Source organism: Homo sapiens, chromosome 15 (assembly GCF_000001405.40).
Source record: "Homo sapiens chromosome 15, GRCh38.p14 Primary Assembly".
In the NCBI taxonomy this organism is placed as follows: domain Eukaryota; kingdom Metazoa; phylum Chordata; class Mammalia; order Primates; family Hominidae; genus Homo; species Homo sapiens.
In genome coordinates, this window is record NC_000015.10 from 49,423,151 (window position 1) to 49,440,385 (window position 17,235).

At 34.2% G+C, this 17,235-nt stretch overlaps 2 protein-coding genes across 28 annotated transcripts in view; one reads left to right on the top strand and one right to left on the bottom strand.

Annotated features, from left to right (window-relative positions):
- FAM227B (family with sequence similarity 227 member B) overlaps positions 1 to 17,235 on the bottom strand; it is a 293,849-nt gene that overhangs the window by 96,181 nt on the left and 180,433 nt on the right. Inside the window, exon 12 of one of the 27 annotated variants that reach the window (XM_047432227.1) lies at positions 12,057 to 12,128. The exons of 24 other annotated variants lie outside the window; for them this stretch is intronic. In XM_047432227.1, coding sequence (XP_047288183.1) covers positions 12,103 to 12,128 — 26 coding nt within the window. In that variant the 3' untranslated portion in view covers positions 12,057 to 12,102. Of the gene's footprint in view, positions 1 to 3,677; positions 16,108 to 17,235 lie in introns of those variants that run through there. 2 more of the 27 variants (XM_011521325.4, XM_047432226.1) reach the window with 2 other exon arrangements.
- FGF7 (fibroblast growth factor 7) overlaps positions 92 to 17,235 on the top strand; it is a 65,534-nt gene continuing 48,390 nt past the window's right edge. Inside the window, exons 1-2 of the mRNA NM_002009.4 lie at positions 92 to 290; positions 882 to 1,433. Of these exons, the coding sequence (NP_002000.1) occupies positions 1,148 to 1,433 (286 nt within the window). The 5' untranslated portion in view covers positions 92 to 290; positions 882 to 1,147. The remainder of the gene's footprint in view (positions 291 to 881; positions 1,434 to 17,235) is intronic.

The following is a 17,235-nucleotide window of genomic DNA, read 5'->3' on the forward strand; positions in this document are numbered from 1 at the left end:
TGTATTCAACTAACAGCTCACTGGCTAAGTTTTAATTGCTTCCAATGAGGTCAGCAAAGGTATTTATCGAAAAGCCCTGAATAAAAGGCTCACACACACACACAAGCACACACGCGCTCACACACAGAGAGAAAATCCTTCTGCCTGTTGATTTATGGAAACAATTATGATTCTGCTGGAGAACTTTTCAGCTGAGAAATAGTTTGTAGCTACAGTAGAAAGGCTCAAGTTGCACCAGGCAGACAACAGACATGGAATTCTTATATATCCAGCTGTTAGCAACAAAACAAGTAAGTTACTGTTATTTGTCTTTTAAAACAATGCTGAATGTTTTCTAAAAGTTTATCTCTTTTTCTGATTTTAGTACTGAGCAGGAAAGTAAAGTTACAAGATTTTTGAGCCATGTAACTATAGTAATTATGCTGTAGAACATAAAGATAAGGTTGAAGTTCTCCAGAGCAATCCTGACATTTAACTTAAAAAACCTGGGCAGTTCAGGAGAAAATAATTGATTAACCACAAATGTAAAAGCATATAATAAAGAAGTCTAGGGAGAAAGCAGTTACACTTTGTTAGCAGTAATTGTAAAAACTTAATTTAAATCAATAGTTCTGAGTGCAGTATGGTTCTCACAAAATAGCAATTGGAATGAATGGTACAGTCATATTCTGTTTTGTCTCTACTCATGCATAAATTTTATAAATCTACACATAAAGTGGTAAAGATTTTGACATCCTCTGTGAAGGCTGTTTTAAATGTATCTTCAAAGAATAACCTATACTGTATTCTAATGCTACTACTTACCCACTAAAATTTACACATACAATTTTTTATCTTCCTCTCTCCTCCCCTCCCTATTCTTAATCTCTCATTGCAAACAGAAGTCAAATAGCAAACAGCGTCACAGCAACTGAACTTACTACGAACTGTTTTTATGAGGATTTATCAACAGAGTTATTTAAGGAGGAATCCTGTGTTGTTATCAGGAACTAAAAGGATAAGGCTAACAATTTGGAAAGAGCAACTACTCTTTCTTAAATCAATCTACAATTCACAGATAGGAAGAGGTCAATGACCTAGGAGTAACAATCAACTCAAGATTCATTTTCATTATGTTATTCATGAACACCCGGAGCACTACACTATAATGCACAAATGGATACTGACATGGATCCTGCCAACTTTGCTCTACAGATCATGCTTTCACATTATCTGTCTAGTGGGTACTATATCTTTAGCTTGCAATGACATGACTCCAGAGCAAATGGCTACAAATGTGAACTGTTCCAGCCCTGAGCGACACACAAGAAGTTATGATTACATGGAAGGAGGGGATATAAGAGTGAGAAGACTCTTCTGTCGAACACAGTGGTACCTGAGGATCGATAAAAGAGGCAAAGTAAAAGGGACCCAAGAGATGAAGAATAATTACAGTAAGTAATTTTAAGTACTGCTCATGAACCTTAGCAATCTGTTAATGGATCAATTTTCAGGTGATATGTTTTCTCATCTTCCTTTTGCTTCTTGGAAAAAAAATTAAATAAAATGTCACCTAATTTCTCTAAATTGAACTATGTTGAACTATGCCCCTAAAAATATCTCTTTTAACAGGGCAAATCTACTTACATTATAGTTGGACCTGATAATCCAAGCCAATTTGAAAATATATACTCCTTGTCCTGAAAATGCTCATAAGTTAAGCAAAATGTAAATAATATTATTCACACCAAAATGTGACTTAATATTGTCTAAGCAAAACTCATTAAGATATCTAATTTAGAACTTCATAAATTATCACTAAAAGCTATTTATCACTAGTTTAAAGAGTAGGGAAATTATTTTTATTAATTTGATTTTCTTTGAAATAATATTTTCATGATGTAAATTAAAATACTTAATCTGTGCTAAGATATGCATTCCTTTGCAATTGTGTATAATGATAAAATAGAAGGGAATCTGTGGTATCCTTATTCATTTGAGTCATAATGAGCTTGTATTAAGTTGATGACTTATCAACTTAGGCAGAAAAACAGATCTCTCCTAACGTTTTCCTTAACTAAATCTTTTATGTCATAAAAGTTCTGTGCTATCTTAAGAAAAATGTAAAGGTGAGGGGAAAAAAGTGGGCTGGAAGAGATGGTAATTCCATGTTTTTCAATTTAAAGCCTTACATTTTTCCCAAGAATCAGTTATTCTTCTTATGTTAAAATATCAGGGTTGTGTTTTGCATTTAATGGTTATGATGAATAACCAACTTCAATAGTATTAAATGTAATGGAATAAGATACACACCTCAACATGTACATTAAGGATTTAAAATACTTAGTAAAAATAAATTTTGTTTACATTACTAGCACTCAGAAAACATTGTTATTAATATATAATTTCATATTAATTGTTTTAAAGTCATTTGAAAAAGAATGCATGGGGAGACTGGTGTAAACATGTGCAAATCACAGTGCCAGGCTTGCAGCAATTACTCAAACTTTTGTTGCCTGTTTACTGAATGACTTTTAGGGTTCTGAACTAATCAACCAATCAATGGGAATTTCAGAGAATTATGTTTCCAATATGAAAATGAGAAGACCTTCTTTTTAACCATAATTGATATAGAATGTTAAGGCCATTTTAATGACTGGACAGTTATGGTTTTATTATTATTATTTATTATTATTACTGAGATTAATAAAGGTATCATGTTAGTTCTAGAAGATCATTCTTATTATACTAAAGTTTATCTAAGGAAATGACTATTTGGAGAAAATTTTTTTGATATCTACTTCTATATAAGCAACAGAATTTGGCTTATAATTAATTTATTTAAAAGTTGCTCAGATTTATCATGGATAATATCATGGATATAATAACAATATTATATATTATCATGGATAATATATATCAATAATAATATCATGGATAATAAAACCTGGTGGAGACGACAGAGCCTAGGTAAAAATTATGACACATGGGGCAACTCCCTGTCTACGAATGATCTGGGGACAATTTCTTTGTTTTTCTGACCCTCAATTTTTCATCTATAAAATGTGGGATAGGTACAGATGATTTCCATGATACTTTCCAGTTCTTATAGTCTATTCTATTTTAAACCGCAGAATATATTTCATAAATATAAAGAAACCTAAATACCCATTGTATAATTATCTCACACAACGAATGAGATGAAAGTAATAGGATAAGCTGTCAGAACTAATTTCAAATTATAGCAATAAGGTTACCAAACCTTAACTGTGGAATTCTACATGCTGACTACTCCTTTTGAATCCTTTTACCAAGTAATGAAAAAGCAAAAAAGTAGATGTAAAATCCAGTGAAAATGAATAGTATGCATAATTATTTAGGATCAACAATATCTTCAACTGGAATACATTTGCATATGTAAATTTTATTTTGTTTGTGTTAAAATTTCTTGAAACAATGAAACTCAGGTAGTACACATGCATAAAATGCTAAAATTATTTTATAGTTTGAAATACAATTTAGTGCTAACTTTGAGTAACCCTAAAGCCAATTTTGTAAACCATCTCCTCTAACACCAATTCTATAGCACAAAAGAAAAAAAAAGGAAGTCGCCCTATATTGTTATAAATTAGAATGTCACAATACCAGTGTACTAAAAAGACAAGATACACATCATGTAAATAATTTTTACTTCTATAAACTTTTTAATAGGCTGTATATATGGTATACTTTCTTGATATCGTTAATTATCCTGGAAAGGGAAACTTTCATCAGAATCCTTTAAGTAAACCCTAAAACTGTCGTAAGGTTATGTGGCTATCTTATTGGAGAAGGAGTCAGTAAGATTTCTCCAAAGTTAAAAAGAGGATAAGCCACTCTTTTTTTTCTATAGGAAGTCCTTAGGTACAGAGGGAAATGCTACAATGAAGAATATATGGAGAATAACATGTTAGAAGAAAATTCTGATAGCCATTTCCTATTATTTGAAGGGTAGCCTTACTATAATAATTTTAAGAGTGAATGTCCAATTGTGCTAATTGACACATGTGAAGTTGAAGCTGCTATATTAGGAAATCTAGGTTCAAAAAATGCTCAGAATTTGTTTAAAATAACAAGAATGGAAACTTGAAATTATGACATTTGAAGATTGTTTACATTCCTCAATCATTAATTGAATGAATGGACAAATAAATGAATGAAAGAATGTTTCCTTCCTATTTTCATTAAAATGAGAGAAAAAGGTAATTGGATTGTCTACTAGAATGAAATGCAGCAGGATTCTGATTAAAGATCAGAATCAAACTCAGAATTTCATTTTCAATGTTTTGATGCCTTAAATTTTTTCAACAGGTTGTCATGTCAATCACCTTTCTTTGGAGGTCTTTTAAGTTAGTATAGATTTTAGTGTCTTGGAAGATAAAATTTTACATGAAAAGTAATATGCCAGCTATGCAAAATATAATTATTCTTCTGGTTACCAAAAGAAAGTCCCCAATCTTTTCTCATGACTTTTTTTTGAATGACTGACCTGAGAATGTCAATAGGCTTCAGAGGACTACTCACTTCACCAGCAGAAGCAATGCTTCCACACAGGAATGTGGTTTTTTAAGATACTAGTAAATATGGATTGGAGCTAGCAGGAGAAGTAAAATATCTAGATGTATAATTCTGCTTCCACAATGTTTTGGGCTCGGGTAGATGGTTGGAGGGCATGGAGAAAGAAAAGGGAGTGGTGGGCAAGTGGATGTGACTGCTCATGTCTCATAACTTTAGGGAATTTTAAAAAATTACTTAAGCTATCCTGGATTGTGAGGTTGTCACTTACTTTAGTCTTACCTTAATTACTGTGTTGTTTTGTAAAATATTTTAAGTTTAGATTAGAATGAATATATTACAGAAAGAGTGCATCAAGGAACCCAACGGAAATAAGACTTGTATTAGTAGACATATAAATAAGAACTATGAAGATGGGGGAATTCATGAGAGGCCAAGAGATACTGGACCACATTTCTGACTCTTGAGGGGACAGAAGCTGCTACTAGAGAACTGGTCATAAGGATTGTGTACTACTGTTACCCAGGAGGCAGAAAGTCTCTCCCCTTTACTTATCTCTCTGGTGGCTTCACATTTAGCCTAACAGTGGGTTTCCAGGTGATGAAACTAGTATCTAACCTTAACTAATAATAAGAATACTAAAAGCATAAAATGTCCCTCCAAAGTACACATTCAAAATGAAGTAAATATTCATTTTCTCTGCAGAAGAAGAAGAGCATTGAGAACATCATAAAAGGGTGAAATGAATGGTCGATACTTCCACTTTTGTTGTCAGAACTCTCCCCATGGGGACAAGATCAGAGGGTGAATTTAGATTACTGCTGCACCAGGCAGTCCAACAGCAGACAGAGGCTATCATTCTGCACCTGACAGAAATAACACTGCTCTTTAAGCTGAGTATTGAGGTGCCGAGTGAGAGAAAGCAGCAGTGCACTGGGCACTCAGTGACCGCCTTGAGAGACAGATGTGGAAGACAGAATCCAATCCCTCAGGATAATTTTCATGCTTTTGGTATCCAATTACTAAAAAGTTGTGCTCTTCCCAATAATAGTCAATATCATCTACTCCTTTTAAGAATTTCTTGTCATAAATTGCCTCACTTGATTATAATGAAGCACTGTTAGTTCCATAGCAAGAAAAGGGTTAGCCATTCTGAAAACTGGCCAATGATTTGGCAATATTCTCTTTTGGACTGTTAGACTGTGATGGGATATGGCCTAACAATTGGCAAAAGGCAAATAAACACAGCGTTGCTGAATTTGACTTTGGCTACAAAACCTTCAGCGACTCATTTGTCAACAATTCTTTGGATAGGCTCCTACTTAACAATAATGTGTTAGAAGCTAGCAAATACACATATTGCCTCTGAATATGGAGATGGTAAATTTGCTTATATTCTAAACAGTTCTTAGCAAGTTATCTAAAAGAACAATAATTCACATTATCAGAATCAAAAATAGCAATGTAAGGACAACCCCTGCCTTTAAAAAAATAGATAATAAGTAACATATCTACGCAGTCGAACCAAAATCCTAGCAATTATAGACAAGGTAGAATCTTGTAGAACTGGTGACCCGCATTCCCTTAAGTAACTTGTTAGGGCTTTAAATTATGAAGAATGGATAAACTGCTGGGGAGCAGATTTGAAAATATTAGCCATTCTTTGATTAGTTTTTAATTTTATAATCTTTTCTTTTTGGCTATCACATGTGCCTGGCACTTATGAAGTGCTAATAAGTTCATTCATTGCCACGAGTGCATCTCTTATCATCTCTTTTCTCTTTTGTAAATCCTCATCTAGACTGACCCTTATGACTCAGCTGTACAATAACTCTTTAACCTACAGTTCTAGAGCATTCAGAGGCCCAAGTGAATTACAGAGAATGGAAGAAGTCAGCTCTTAGATATATTGAAAGGGTTGCCTTTCTACATTTTTCTATCTCTCAACCTTGTCTAAATATTACAATCAGCTGGGGAACTTTAAAAAAATACTGATGCCAGTTTCCACCCACAAAAAATTTTTCATTAAATTGATCTGAGGTACAGTCTGGGCATCAGGAATTTTAAAAGCTTCCCCAGATAATTCTGACATGCTGCCAGGGATGAGAACCACTGGACTAAGGGGATCACATTAGATTACTGGGGAATTAAGTCAGAATCTCACAAAGGTGGGAAGGACCAGGCATTAGTATTTGTTAAAGTTCTCCAATGATTCTAAAGTGCAGCTAAGGTTGCAAACCACTGCTTATGGAGAACAAGAATTCTAATTCAGCCTGGACCACCTCAGGGGTCTTGGGAATGTTTCAGACCCTGTAGAGGGATTCAAAGTTAACTTGAACCCTAGAGGATTTTGAAATAGGCTTGATTAGGCATAAATCTCTGAATTATGCACCAAGAGGGTTCTTCTGGGCTCATCTGACCTCTCTGACAAATCTTAGTGGCTCCAACATTTGGTGAACTGGCCTGGAAATGTACGTGATGATAGCTCTGTAGCTACTATGTTAAGAAGACTGCTTTGGTGAATGAGTTAGCTGCAGGGAAGAATAGGTTCTGTACCACAGCCTCACAATGACAGGCAGGTCTGCATCTCTTCTGACACTTTAAAGTGGTGTTGCAGTAGGGTACTTGAAGTACAGGCCTCAATGTCTGCTTATTCTGCACTTAAATGAGCCACCTTATGACTATGAACTCAGATGCTCCCAGATTAGGATCTCACCTCTCATGGCCACACAACCAAGTTCAAAGGCAGAGGTTTAAGGAGACAACCTCTAGCCTAGGAAACCCAGGGGGAGAGAACCACAATTCTAGAGGGTTGGCTTAGTCTGCTTTGTGTTGATATAAGAGAATACTGCAGATTGGATAATTTATAAAGAAAAGAAATTTATTCTTCACAGTTCTGGAGGCTGGGAAGTCCAATATCAAGGTAATGGCATCTAGCAAGGGCCTGCTTGCTGTGTCATTCCATGGTGGAAGGTAGAAGGGCAAGAATGTATGAGAGTAAGAGAGTATGAGACAGACAGGGCTGAAATCATTTTTTCTAACAACCCATTCTCTTCATAACTCACTTCTGAGAAAATGACATTAATCTATTCAGGAGGTTGAAGCCTTCATGGCCTAATCACCTCTCAATGGTCCCATCTCTTAATACCATCACAATGGCAATTAAATTTCAACATGAGTTTTGGAGAGGACATTCAAACCATAGCAAGGGTCTATCCAGATCAGAGAAAAGACATAAAGCTAGAGGACTGTTCTCTTTTTAAGACTGGAATGATGCACAACATTAGGGCAAAGCTTTTTTTATTTTCTAAGGATCATAGCTTTCTTCCTTTGTATCACACAATTTTTGGTAGCACAATAACTTCTCTAACATCACTATTGGAATACAATACTTTTCCATTTTTAAATTTTATATATCTCACAATAAAATTATGTATACTTAAGTAATATGGAGAAAAATGACTCTTGTTCAATGAAATAGACTTTAATATAAACTCCTTTACTAAACAACATCTAACATTTTTACCCCTCAAATAGGTTGTAAATGAAAATCCTCTGCCTTCCACATGATTTGGAAAATTGTGTTAAAGAGTCCCTGAATGTTTAACCGCTTTTGGACCAAGTTTTTTATCTGCATTTGAGATTATATCTGGACATATCTTTAGTAGAGAAGTCGTGTCAAATTCACTAACAAAAATGTCATTAAAGTTCCTTAACTATGTGTATGAAAGGGTTTGTGTAGTAATATGTAAAGACAAAGTGATTAAGATGGGGAGTGAGAGAGGAGAATTATCCAGTACCCATGCCCAAGTAAACCTTGTCTTTAGGCAGGCAACATCATTCTCAGAGGAAAAAAATTTGATGTATACTGGGGAGAATTGGCTCTAGAGATTCTCCAGTTGCTTAACTTCCCTCCAGAAGAAAGTAATCTCTTCTACTGGAGTGGTCATGAGTACTTGATAGAGTCATTAGCTAGTGTCCATCTAAAAATAAAGAGGAAGAAAATATCTTTGTGAACAGGAGGAAAAAGAGCAAAAGAGAAAAGGAAAAAGACTTTACATAAAAATTATTGGATTTTAAATCTTCTGTAAACTTAAAATGAAGCAAAGTTTCTCATAAAATATAGCCCCACTAACTTTCTTGATGCACTTAAAGAATGAGACAATGGAATGACAAGATAGTAGAAGGAAGAAACAAAACCACTAAAATGCTGGGGGTTGGATTTAACTAGAAATTGAAATAACAATTTCAGATAATAATACAGAGGGGTTGAAATGATAATAAATTATTACAGGTATTACTCAAATAGGTTTGAATCTCTTGGTTGATTTTGTGCCGAAAACTGTAATAATCTTTGCTTATTTATCAGAATTATTCTGAAACTGAATTTATTTTTAAGATTAATGTAAGAGAAATAAGACATGTTTCAATATCCTCAAATATCACATTTGTTATATTCTATTGTAATATTTCCCATTTTATCTGGCTACTTGAACTTTAGATGTAACTGTAAGTAATGCTAAGAAAATAGTTTGAGACCAAATTCAGAATGAACTCAGCTTGCAGAATTTTCTTAAGGTAATATTTCCAAACTGTGTTTCTTTATAACACTAGTGCCCCCTGAGATATTAAGGCTGTTTCCTGTAGCACAGCTTCTCTAACTAACCTGCTGAGAAATATTAGGTTAAATAAAATTGAACAATTTTCTTTCAGCAGAATTTCTCTGAGTCTATACTATACTAATGAGAATTTTTAAAACTCTAGGAAAAGAGTATACATGATTTCTTAAACTTATTTGACAACATAACACTCCTCCTCTCCCTCACCTCCATTCTTAGTCCCTGGTTTGGGTGGAATATTTAAATTTTATTAAATTTCAACTTGAGAGCTATTGTCTAAGGATCTATCTTTGGTGTTGTCAAGAACTAAACGAAGTTGCCACTAAATTGTTTGAATCAAATAAAAAAACTATACAATTGACCTGAACCAACATTTTAATAATGACCAACTAAGCATGTATGCCAAAGTCAGAAGATTATATATGATTTCGGACTATTAGAGTAATATTTTGTGCATGAATACTGGACAGAAATCCAGGGATTTGCAGTGGGATTTAAGCCTAATTTAAAATTCTTTCTGAGTTCTGAGCAGATTTATAGGACCACCCTCCTGTAACAAGAAATGATGCCCAACAGCTATTATTTGGGCCACCGATAAACTAACCAAAAACATTTCCTATGCTATAACCTAAAAATGCTTTAGGATCCTAATATGATTGAAAAATTCTTACTGTATATATCTAAAACAATAAATTTTTACTTTTCGAAAAAGTAGTTGGAGCAAAATTTGTTGCTATTTCAATTATTTCAATAAAGAAATGTTTCATTTACTGGCTAAAAATTATTTAGAAATTTAACATAATCTGATGAAAGGACTACAAATTTAATGAATTAATCTCCACATTCTTCAAAGAAATCAATTATTTGAGATTTTCAATACAGAGCCAGTAATGGTCTTATTCTCTTTCTGTGCCCCAATTGCTTTTCTACCTGTGTACAGCACATCTGCCTTGTCTTATGATTCTTTCTGTTTGCATTTGGCACTGTCACTAGAATGTCAGTTCTGAGAAAATAAGTACCATATCTTACTTTTTATTTTTTTTAATCTTCCAGTGGTAGAAGCAGCAGCACTTAGCCCAGTGTAAGAGGTGAAAGGGTAAAAGAGGGGAGAAAGATTAGTGATCACTCAATATATTTATCCTTTAATTTATTACACATTTAAAATTAGATGTAAATAAGAAATAGATTACTAAATTATCATGAAAATTTAAAGTGGGCAAGAATTAAAAGCCTTGCTGAAATAAAAGAGAAATACACCTCACTTCCCTCTCATTCTCTATCACTAAAAAAAAATGGCCTCCAGAACCAATTTGATTTAATGTCTTTCTAGGTGATTTCAAGGAACTGGTGGAAAATTTGGTTTATTGTAGAGGCCAACTATATAAGCAGACACAGTTACCACTGGTGACACTGGAAGGTTGATTGGCAGGGCATAGTGAAGACCAATTCTAGAGGAGCTGTGGCCCTCCATGACACCCATTTTTGTTCCCACCTGACTGCCAGCTAATCCATGCATGCCAAAAACTATAAACAGAAAAAAACAGTAATTCATAGTTGATATTGGTTTAAGGAATATCTGCATTAGAGACAAAAAGAGAAAAAGTCTTTAATAATTAAATGAGCTATACTAGAAAACAAGCAGTGGACTGATAATTTTGGGGCAGGGGTCTGCCTACTAATATTGATCCTGGAGTTGGTGATCAGCACTGAAGGGAGGAGAGGGCATATGCATAGGAAGAGAGAACTGGGGAGAAGTCAAGAAAGTTGGTGAATCCACTCTCAATTCGTTTTAGTGCCAGTAGCCTGATCTTCAGGAGTCTTTTGGTATCTTACGGGGTCTCTAACTGTACTTCTGACCATAGGCCTAGTTTATCTGGTTCATATTGAGGCAGCTCTCATAGGAAGGTCACTTGTAGGTGTTACATAGTTTCCGCCTTTGTTTGCATGAATAATGAAGATATGCAAAATTTTAAAGGTTAATGACTTTTTTTTTTAATTAATTCAACCAAGTTATTTATACCTCCTTTTGCTAGACTAAGAATGCAATAGTAAGCAAATATACAGTCCATGCTTTTACAGAATTAACAGTTGGGAGTCAAGGGAGAACTCCAAGTCAGAGTGAGTAAGTTTAGGGCACATCGCAGGTTGTCAAACCCAACACAAGGAGAAGGGCATGGAAATCTTTTCTGAGAGGAAATAGCCTGAAGGATGAAAGGACAAAAGATAGAGGACAGATGTATTATCCTCAGAGGAAATGCTTTTTGTAGATGTTTGGTAGTAACAGTACTGCAAGATTGGGAAATGAAAAGTGATTTAACATCTTTCCAAGTATCAATGCTAAACTCACCAAGGTAAAGGTTTTTTTTCTATTAAAAATATAAGAACATTTACTCTTTATTAATTTGCATGCTTCGAATGATTGCTATGTTTATTAAAAACATAACTACCAGCAACTTAAATTAAATCTAAAAACATAGACTGTGAATTTGTTCACTGTGTATGCTCAATCTGGCAAGGGAAAACATCAATAATTAATAAAAAACTAATTAATAATTAATTAATAAAAAAGAGAACCAATTTCTCAAAGTTCATACAATGTTTTTCCTTTAAAGGGAAATTTTAAAGGCATAATTCAATTGGAATAATATATTTTTTCTGAATAACTGCATATTTTTCACTTTTTTATGATAAACAGTATGTTGTGTGTATTTTACAACAATAAAAATACATTCATACAAAACAGTAATGTTCATTTCGAACACATACAAAATAGTATACATTAAAATTGTTGTGTATGAAGTGAGAGGGGGGTACATGGGGAAAAGGCATAAGTGTGAAAAAAATGAATGAAATATTTTTTACTTTTTAATGCCTTTTCAATCTTTGACCATAAGTGTAACTTACCTATGTCAGCTGTTGACAAATAATCACTGTAAAATCGAAGTAATCTTTATGGAGTTTTTTCCCTAACAGTTTCTAAAATGTGAGAAAAATAATTTTGAGTCATATGTTTGGCATGTAAGGACAAAATTATGAAGGTTATCTACCACATTCTTTAAGATAAGACATACTTTTACTACCATGAGCACTGGATCACCTGTTTCAACTATGTAATCAAGACACTCAGTAGTCAAGCAGCTGTGCATAGTTTTATGCCCTCTAATTCATGAAGTATGCTACTTTCATAAAACTACTGATATGTCTTTGTTTTTGCAAAATTAGGCTCACCTCCCTTCTTGTATAAATAATGTGTTATAAAATAATGTTGGATGTTTAACAGGCACACAGAAGTGCTTTCAGCTTTGAAAAGATTCTGGCCAAATTTGGTCTTCAAATTTTCTCTTAACTGGCTGGAAGATGGCCAGATATTGAATAATAATAGATACCCCAAAGAAGATGAGCATAAATCTATATCATAGTTGCTATGTTGTAATTTAAAATTTATGATGTTTTGAAGTACTATTTAGTAGTTTATTAGATATTCAAATTAATATTACCACTAAAATCACTGCACTGTATAGAAGTAAATCTGTTACTGTTGCCATAAATCTTTTAATTTAGTCTGCAAAATCTTACAATGTACAACTGGGAACATTTTTATTGAGTGAATAAATGTAAGTATATAATTAATGTTAATTCTTTAAAAATACATATGCCAATATTGAAATTGGTACAGAGTACTTTATTCCATTCTGATTAATTCTCAAAATATCTCCATGCTGTAAGCTTGCAATTACACAGTTACTTCATTTCACGGAAGAAAAAAAAGACCCTCAGGAAACTGGCCAGCTTAATAAGTTTGCTGGTATATAAATTCTAACTGTTTTAAAATTATACATGGGCCTGTTTTACTTCCTATTTAGATGTTGTTCATTTTAGTGAAGAAAGATTGGTGTTCAAAATTAGCCAGTGTTTCAGATGATCCTATCAAAAACCTTTGCATACAATGTTGATTGTTTTCTGAAAATATTTGAGTAGTCAGTTAACTTACAAAGATTAGATATTGCATAGTAGGTCTGATGAGTCCATTGTGTGATTAACATCATTGTATATTAAGGAGCAAGAAGTTCATATATAGAATCTTGCTTTAAACCTTCCAGCTTTCCTTTTATCAACACAAGCTGGTTACTAAAAGACTGTGTAGAGGAAAAATGAGACATTCTTAAGTAAATTTTTTCCCTCAATGAAAACATGGGCCATTAGTATTAAGATAACAAAAATGACTACTACAACAAAAATTAAATGTGTGAGTGGTTTCTGTGTGCCTGGCACTGTGTTAAACACTTTATATACATTATTTAATTTAATCTTCACAGGGCTCTTATTAGGTGGGCAGACTTATGCTCATTTGCAGATGGGGGAGATTTGGCTCACAGAATTAAGTAACTTGCTCTAGGTTACATAGCTAGTAACTGTCAAAGTTGGGATGTGAATGCAAGTAGGTTTAACTCCAAAGCACAGCTTTAGTATCATCACATGTATCACTATACTGTCACTGGTGTTATTAAAACATCGCATATTACTTTGTATCAAGCAGTGGGATAATTTGCATCTGAAGAAATACAAATAACTGAAGTTTTCTTCTCTGTAATATGACCTAATGAATACTTGGCATTATCTTCAGCTTATTAAATAAAAACTTACTCCAAGTTTCCTTGTACAAAATATATCCATCTGTCTTCCCCTGAGAAGGCGTAGCAACCTTCAGTTTATTTTGCTTACACATTGCTAAGATGCTACAAAATTTAACTTGGTTGTATTTTAAACACATTCCTGACATTTATTAAAACTATTTATACTTCTGTTCTTTAGGGTCTGGAAAATTGTTATAGAATGCATAATAATAATTATCCAGACACTACATATATTATATATTAAATTGTATATATACAGTTTAATTTCAGATAATCTCAGATAACTTAGTCATATTTAGGAATGCCTAAAGATAATTTCCTTCCCTAAAGCCACTAAATCCAAATACAAAGCAACACAAAAACAAATAAAAGAAACAGCAGAGAGTTTGTTTTAACAAGCATGTCTGAAGGATGGTGAAAAAGAAACAGTTTACTGGCAAATAGGTTCTTTCTTTTGTCCATGTCCTTAGTTTATTTTTAATCCTTTTAGGACTGCGCTCCACAAAAAGTAAGAGGCAAAAGAAAGGGAATAAAAATGATGAATTAATCCAAAGATAGTATATCTGGAATTCTATTTTAAGGATTTTTTTGGGGTGTGATTCTGGGTAAATCATATCTCTGTTTCTCAATATTTTTCTGAAAACCAGACATGCATTATTTGTGACCTGATTAACTTTAGGTTCTTTCAGTGTCTTAAGAATATCTTAGAAGGTTTGTATTCTGAAAGTTGCAGTGGCTCTTTCCAGCAATTAGAATACTATTTATTGCAATATTTACTGAGCATATATTACGTATTATGTACTGTGTATGCACAGATACACAATGCAAGCACCCACCATTGAAAAAATTCAGCCTATGTGTGGATACCAACACCAAAGAGTCAATTTCAGTAGAATATAGTAAGTACTGTGAAAAAGGTATGTTCAGGGAGTTAGAGGACTCTAGTGGAGGCCAGCTAACAGAACCTGGGAGAGAAAGGGCAATACTCTCAAAAAACATATTTTAACCACATCTCAAAGAGCAGGTGGGAGTGAATCAGGCTAGAGAAGAGGGTAGGAAATGGGGAAGGGAGTCAGAAGAAAGGGTATCTCTTCCTGGAAAATAGTACATGAAGAAAAAGCTGAGTTGTGTGTCAGTAGGTTTGTATGGGAATTAGTGTTTCAGGAGTACCAAGTTCAAGATAGGAAGTAGGAAGAGATAAGACTGCAGGGAAGTCTCATATCTTGGAAAGTTGTTTTAGGGAATATGAAGCTTTACCCATAGGCTATAAGGAGCCATTGAAGAATAGTAGAAGCACTAACTAATCAAAAACAGTCATTTACATTATTCACAAAAATGACCTGGATAGTTAATATCAATTAATAACTCAAATATTACTTTGTTAAAAATTTAACCTTTCTTACCAAATCCTCTTACCAGAACTACCCACAAAGCAATGAAATTAACTCGTGACAATGAATATCCATTGCTTTGTTCCACCCAGTCTTTGATACAGGGATTTATAAATGGACCAGATTGTCAATTGCAGAAGAGAAAAGGGAGAAAAGTAGGCTAGAAAATTCACCAAAGAGTTATCAGTCTTAGCTTATCACACCAATAGCATTATTTTGTATAAATATTAATACACATTATATATAGCATAGGAGTAGATTGAGTTGATAAGAAAGTGAGAGGGAGCACGAGGACAAGGAAATAATACTGTATCATATATTATGGAACCTGGGTGTTAATCCTTTTTCTTCCAATAATTAACTGAATGACCTTGGGCAAATAGTTGACTCTCCTAGGCCTCAGTTTTTGTTTTTGTATTTGTTTTATAAATATAAATTGAAGAGAGGTAGGCCAGATTTCTTGAATAGATTACAGTTGTTAAATGTTACCAATAGTGCTAAGCAACTGAGAGAGAGAGTGGGTGGTAAGGTGAGAGAAGGAAAGATAAGAGAGAGGGAGAAAAAAGAGAGAGAAAAAGAGAGAGAGAGAAAATTAGTTATCTATTGTTGCATAACAAGTTACCTAAAATTTACCAGCTTAAAACAGTATTTATTATCTTGCAGTTTCAGAGGGTCAGGAATTTGGGAGTAGCTTAGCTGAGTGGGTTGGTCTTAGGGACTCTTACGAGGTTGCAATCAAACTGTCAGCTAGGGCTGAAGTCTTCTTATGTCTTGACTGGGGCTGAAGGATCTATATAAAGCATTCTCACATTGTTGTTGGCAGGCCTCTGTTTCTATCAGGCTGTTGGCCGGCAACTTCCTCTTTGCTATGTGGGCCTCTCGACAGGCTTCCTGAGTGTCCTTATAACATGGCAACTGGCCTCCTTCAGACTGAGCAATGAGAGGGGTAGGAGAGAGAGAGAGAGAGGGAGGGAGAAAGAGAGAGAGAAAGGGAGGCAGAGAGAGAGAGAATCTTTAAGATGGAAATTGCAGTGTGACGTACCATCATTTCTGCCTTATTTTATTGGTCACACAGACTAACCCTAGTAAAATAGTAAAACGTGGGGGGAGGGAACTACCCAAGGGTGTGAATAGTGAATACTAAGTGTTAGGGATCATTGGGGCCAAACCACGGACTAACTACCATGCATGGTTTTTGCATCTGAAGAATTTTTAGTCAAGTTGAAATTCTAAGTACACATAAAATTAAGTTAAAGCAACAATAGAAGAGAAACAGAGCAATAAGTTTGTGGAATAAGCTTGTTTCTGAACAAGCCTGAGAAGTAGATAGCTTTCCTTATTGGAACTGCTAATCTGGGTTAGGGTCTCCTCAGGAGGAACGTGGCTCTCTTCTCTTACTGCAGACAGAGGGAGGAAACCTTATACCATGTGTTAATACCCCACTTCGTAGCATTGAGAAAGAAACTGGATGATTTGCTTGCTTAAAATCACACTAATGGTTGTATGAAACAAAGACAACTCCACTCTGGAATTACAGGTCTGGAAGGAAGCCATGAGATCATAGAGTCCAGAGATTTTGACATGAAGTTTGCAGATAGCCCTCAGGGAAACTGGAAAGGAAAAAATATGCACAAATATTGGGGACAGGATTCAAAGCGTTTATCACATTATCAAAAGTATCTGTGTTTCCAATAAAAGTTTAAGAAGCACTGATCTAGTCTATTATGCTTATTTTATTTGATGAGGGAACTGAGTCACGAAAAGATAACTTTTCAAAATGACATCACGAATTAGTGGCAGTGGTGGTTTGGACTGGAATTGAAGTCTTCTGGTTTTTAGTTCAGCATACTTTTAGTTAAACCCACTGTGTAAACAATATGCATTATTACTGTGGTTTGTAACACCAAAAGCTTAGCTGATTTCCTTCTGTTTATACACTCTTACAATTTGGATCATTTCCCCTTTTGTTCTCCCACCAAATGTCAAAAAGTTGATATATTTCTTATAAGTAAAAGAGTCATCATAGAGGGGTAGAATATTGCTCCAAAGTATTTATAG